Raw genomic sequence first — 2,579 nt, forward strand, 5'->3', positions numbered from 1 at the left:
CCTCAGGATATCTGCTCAGCAAGGCACTGGGAAGATCACTGGGGAGCTCAGAGGCACTCAGATACAGTTATCAGCAGACACAGCAGCAAACTGGAGAGCCAAGAGTGTGGTCATCTAAATGCCAGAAGCAGCCTGCCTCAAAGACCTTCAGTGGAGACCCCAAATAGGAAGGACCAATAGTGGCCAATGATGCTGATGGACACATAAAAGATTGTGATTTACCTAGCGGCATTTTTAATTTCTATAGGCAGGCAACACTCTATACTTACATAATAAGACAGATTATAAAGTGTGTAATTGACAGATATACAATATATTCTATGAGTTAAGACTATACTGACAGACACAACAGATATACAATATATCCTGTGAGTTAACCACAGAAAGTGAGGCTTACAGAGATTAAATAAGTTGTCCAACATCATATAGCTCATAAGTGGCAGCCAATATTCAAACTCAAGCCTGTCTGCCTCTAAAGCCCATACCAATAAATCCTATACCATGTAAGCTCTCTAAGAGGAAGACCTTCCCAAAGTTAGTGGCTAGGGGCCCTTACTGAAGAGTTGTAACTAAAGAAAGGGTCCTTTTGCTTCGATGAAAAGGTTGGTGCTAACCTTTTAAGTGGTGGTAAAAAGTGATGCACAGCATTGGAGTGTGGAAACGTCCTTGTGTTCTGAGAAGAACATGTGTTGTGTGTTGACTTCTCCAGTGGATGCATGAGGTATATGCGAACAGTGGGTTGGAAGACAGCCTGCAAAGCTTTAAACTCCAACCAAAGTAAATACATGCATCTTATTGGGGTTTTTTAGGGCAGTTGTGGCCATATATTAAAATTTGAACTTTGTGCTTCAGGAATGGGGAATAAGCACAGGGAAAGTAGAGGAAGCCATAATCTAGAAAAATAATGGAATTGCTTCATAGAGGGCACCACCAAAGCTTAACTATCTCTGTGATAGTGATAGTCAAGTGCATAATTTATTTCAGCTTATTGCAATGTTGAAAATACTTCATGAATCCCTTATTTCCATCTTCATGAATCTGCAAGGAATCTAAAGACTCTAAGTTGGAAAACAATGGGCCTGGGGAAATTCACTATGGGGAAAAGTGCAGAGGGAGAAATCACTATCACAGAGACAGTTAAGCTTTGGTGGTGCCCTATACCAAGCAATTCCATTATTTTTCTAGATTATGGCTTCCTCTACTCTCCAAAACCTGTGATTGTTCCCCATTCCTGAAGCATAAAGTCCAAATTTTAATACATAGCCACAGCTGCCCTAAAAAATCCAGTAAGAGCCGCTAGGTGCTGCTGTGGACTATGGGCCGCTGGGGTCGGTGAAGGATCCCAAGATGGCTGGGCAAAAACTTGCTCTAAAAATCATTGACTGGGTAACTTCTTGGGAGAGCATATCCCGAAACCAAAAGGCCATTGCTAATTCCCTGACATCCTGGAATGAGATTCTTACCTCCAGACTGGCTATTTTACCTGAGAATAAACCATCTATTGACTGGACTTACTACAAGGCCAGTGTGGCCAAGGCAGGCTTGGTGGATGACTTTGAGAAGAAGTTTAATGCCCTGAAGTTTCCTGTACCAGAGGATAAATACACTGCCCAAGTGGATGCTGAAGAAAAAGAAGATGTGAAAACTTGTGCTGAGTGGATGTCTCTCTCAAAGGCCAGGATTGGACAATATGAGAAACAGCTGGAGAAGATGAGGAACTTAATTCCATTTGATCAGACGACCACTGAGGACCTGAATGAAGCTTTCCCAGAAACCAAATGAGACAAGAGAAAGTATCCCTATTGGCCTCACCAACCAATCGAGAATTTATAAAGTTGAGTCCAGGAGGAAGTTCTGGCCCTTATATTACACATTCTGGACATTAAAAATAAAAATACTTATGTAGAAAAAATCCAATAAGATGCATTTATATACCTTGGTTGGAGTTTAAAGCTTGCTAGATATCTTCCCCCTCCCCCGACTGCCTTCATGTACCTCTTGTGTTTACTAGAGAAGTCAACACACAACACATTCTTCTCTGAACATAAGGACGCTTCCACACTCCAATGCTGTGCATCACTTTTTACCACCAACTAAAATGCCCTTCCTTGTCCCCACATGGCAAAATATTATCTGTTCTTAAAGGCCTAGCTCAAATGCCAACTCCTTCTAGAAGCTTCCTTCAGGCCTGATGCCCTACTTTACCTCCGCATTGCCCAAACTGAATTGCCCCAAGAGAATGTATTGCCCTTTCCCCTTTTCACTTTTTTTAGGTCTCTATTTGATACTGTATTGCTACTTCTTTCGCTTAAGTGTGTCTGTGAGCTAAGTACCATAATTTATTCATATATGAATCTCTAAAACTTTGCAAGTTTCTGATATATATTGAACCATGAAGATAGAATGCTTGAATAAATTTTTGTAATATATAAAAATTATATATATTTATTGAGTACAATATGATTTTTTTTTAAACAGAGTCTTGCTCTGTTGCCCAGGATGGAGTGCAATGGCGTGATCTCAGCTCACTGCAACCTCTGCCTCCTGGGTTCAATCGATTCTCATGCCTCAGCCTCCCA

General features: G+C 41.0%; 1 pseudogene; it reads left to right on the forward strand.

The window, feature by feature from the left end:
• ATP5PDP3 (ATP synthase peripheral stalk subunit d pseudogene 3) lies at positions 1,294-1,896 on the forward strand (annotated as a pseudogene).

This window comes from Homo sapiens, chromosome 9 (assembly GCF_000001405.40).
Source record: "Homo sapiens chromosome 9, GRCh38.p14 Primary Assembly".
Classification (NCBI taxonomy): Eukaryota; Metazoa; Chordata; class Mammalia; order Primates; family Hominidae; genus Homo; species Homo sapiens.